The sequence below is a fragment of the Homo sapiens genome, chromosome 6 (assembly GCF_000001405.40).
Source record: "Homo sapiens chromosome 6, GRCh38.p14 Primary Assembly".
NCBI classification, from domain to species: Eukaryota; Metazoa; Chordata; class Mammalia; order Primates; family Hominidae; genus Homo; species Homo sapiens.
The window spans coordinates 62,584,965-62,587,669 of record NC_000006.12 but is presented as its reverse complement, the minus strand read 5'-3'; the positions used below and the strand labels follow the sequence as shown (position 1 = coordinate 62,587,669).

At 43.1% G+C, this 2,705-nt stretch overlaps 1 annotated feature.

The window, feature by feature from the left end:
• Positions 1,321-1,868: an enhancer, noted in NCBI's record as "OCT4-NANOG hESC enhancer chr6:63295707-63296254 (GRCh37/hg19 assembly coordinates)". NCBI's record gives its function as "activates a minimal SCP1, AML or CMV promoter by ChIP-STARR-seq in primed H9 embryonic stem cells {active_cell/tissue: H9 hESC(primed)}" and the evidence as "EXISTENCE:reporter gene assay evidence [ECO:0000049][PMID:30033119]".

Here is a 2,705-nt window from a genome sequence, read left to right as displayed (position 1 = left end):
GAGCAGAGGCTGAGGAAGAATTGGGACCTAGCTTGGCCTGGTGAGGAGCAGCCTGGGGAGGATGGGAGAGGTCAGATGGGTCTGTAGAAAAGGAAGATTAGAAAAACTCAGCAACCCTTGGGGTTGGGACTGAGAGGACAAGTGAGAGGGAAAGAAGGAAGATTTGGGACAAGTTGCACTGGGCACAGAGACTAGGGAGGGACCGATGTGTAACAGAATGCCTGGACATCAGGCACCTCAGACCGTTTGCCCATTTTACGACAAGAATTATTTAGATCTTGCAGGATGGAAAAATTGAAAGTGCCATTTTCTGGCTATTTGGAACTACTGTCAAGTTTGTATTGGGGTCAAGCAGCATTGCAGAAGAAAATAAGATGCTTACATTTTAGGTCAGGTGAGAGTTGAAGAGGTTTTAAGTTCTTAAAAACACCGGCTACGGGAGAAGAAGGAGGAATGGAGGGTGGAAGTTTGCCCATAGTGAAGGCAGCAAGCCCAGAGAAAAGAGAGTAGAGACATGGAGAGAAGGGGTTCGGGGGTTCTTACCCTCCAGAAAAGTGGGAAAGGGATCAGGGCACAGAGATATGAGGTCAGGGCATGGAAATAAGGGATCAGGGCACAGAGATATAAGAGGTTGGGGCACGGAAATAAGGGATCGGGACACAGAGATATAAGGGGTTGGGGTACTTGCCCCTCCCCTAGAAAAGTGGGACTTGCTGCTAAGGGTGAAGTAGAAGGGGTTGGGGGTTTCTTGCCCCCCAGAAAGGTGGAGAAGGGGTAGAGACATGGAGAGAAGGGGTTGGAGTACTTGCCCCTCCCACAGAAAAGCAGGACTTGCCGCTAAGGGTGAAGAACCAAGGCAGGCATCCCTGCGTGGTCTGACACCTCTGAAACATGGGTGAATAATCAGAGAGGCATCTCTGTGATGATTAAACACCAAGGGAAGGCTGCCTTCCTAGTCCATGACTGGCGCCGGAGTTTTGGGTCCACGGATAAAATGTGTCTCCTTTGTCTCTACCAGAAAATGAAAGGAACTGAAATTAAGAGCAGGGAGAGATTGAAGTGTGGCACCGAGATTGAAAGGAGAAAGAGGTTGAGGGATAGTGAGGGAGGTTGGAGAAGAGAGTAAAAAGAGGCCACTTACTGGATTTCAAATTGGTGAGATGTTTCTTGGGCTGGTTAGTCTGAGGACCTGAGGTCGTAGGTGGATCTTTCTCATGGAGCAAAGAGCAGGAGGACAGGGGATTGATCTCCCAAGGGAGGTCCCCAGATCCGAGTCACGGTACCAAATTTCACACGCATCTGTGTGAAGAGACCACCAAACAGGCTTTGTGTGAGCAACAAAGCTTTTAATCACCTGGGTGCAGGCGGGCTGAGTCCCAAAAGAGAGTCAGTGAAGAGAGATAGGTGTGGGGCCGTTTTGTAGGATTTGGGTAGGTAAAGGAAAAAGGGGGGTTGTTCTCTGGTGGGCAGGAATGGGGGTGACAAGGTACTCAGTGGGGGAGCCTTTGAGCCAGGATGAGCCAGGAGAAGGAATTTCACAAGACAATGTCATCAGTTAAGGCAGGAACAGGCCATTTTCACTTCTTTTGTGGTGGAATGTCATCAGTTAAGGCAGGAACAGGCCATTTTCACTTCTTTTGTGGTGGAATGTCATCAGTTAAGGCAGGAACCCACCATCTGGATGTGTACGTGCAGGTCAGGGGATATGATGGCTTAGCTTGGGCTCAGAGGCCTGACACTAATGTGATTAGGAAACCTCAACACTGGGACTGTTGACGAACATCAAATATATTTAATAGGTGGAAAACATTCATATTTGGAAATGAAATTCATATTTGGAAATAAAATTACACAAATATAGGTGGCATATATACACCATGGAATAATATGCAGCCATAAAAATGATGAGTTCATGTCCTTTGTAGGGACATGGATGAAACTGGAAGCCATCATTCTCAGCAAACCATTACAAGGCCAAAAAACCAAACACTGCATGTTCTCACTCTTAGGTGGGAATTGAACAATGAGAACACTTGGACACAGAAAGAGAAACATCACACACCAGGGCCTGTTGTGGGGTGGGGGGTGGGGGGAAGGATAGCATTAGGAGATATACCTAATGTAAATGACAAGTTAATGGGTGCAGCACACCAACATGGCACATGTATACATATGTAACAAGCCTGCACATTGTGCACATTTACCCTAGAAGTTAAAGTATAATAAAAATATATATATAAATAAAATAAAATGTTCTAACAATAAAAAAGAATAATCCAAGTGATTTTCATTTAGGTAATTGGTGGCAGATAAAATGTCACTTAAATCCAATAAATAGCAATATGTTAAGTATATTAAATGATAAACATTAAGTAATATAATGTCATTAAATAAAATTGGGTGGTACAGGAAAAAGAACAGAGGTAGACATAGAGGTAACAAATAAATTTCCTTTGCCAGAGTAAGAAATCAGTAGACAGTGTCTAAAAACAAGAAACAAAATAAATTATATGCAAATAGTATTAATGTAACCTCTAGAATAAAAATGTGAACTGTATTAAATATTAGAACTAAATCATCACACAAAAACAAACACATATTATTTAAAGAGTTAGATAAAGTGAAAGTAATATTTACATATATACTGGTTGTATCAATAATGTAAATGAGAATGGCTCACCTATTAAAATTATTTCTACATTGGC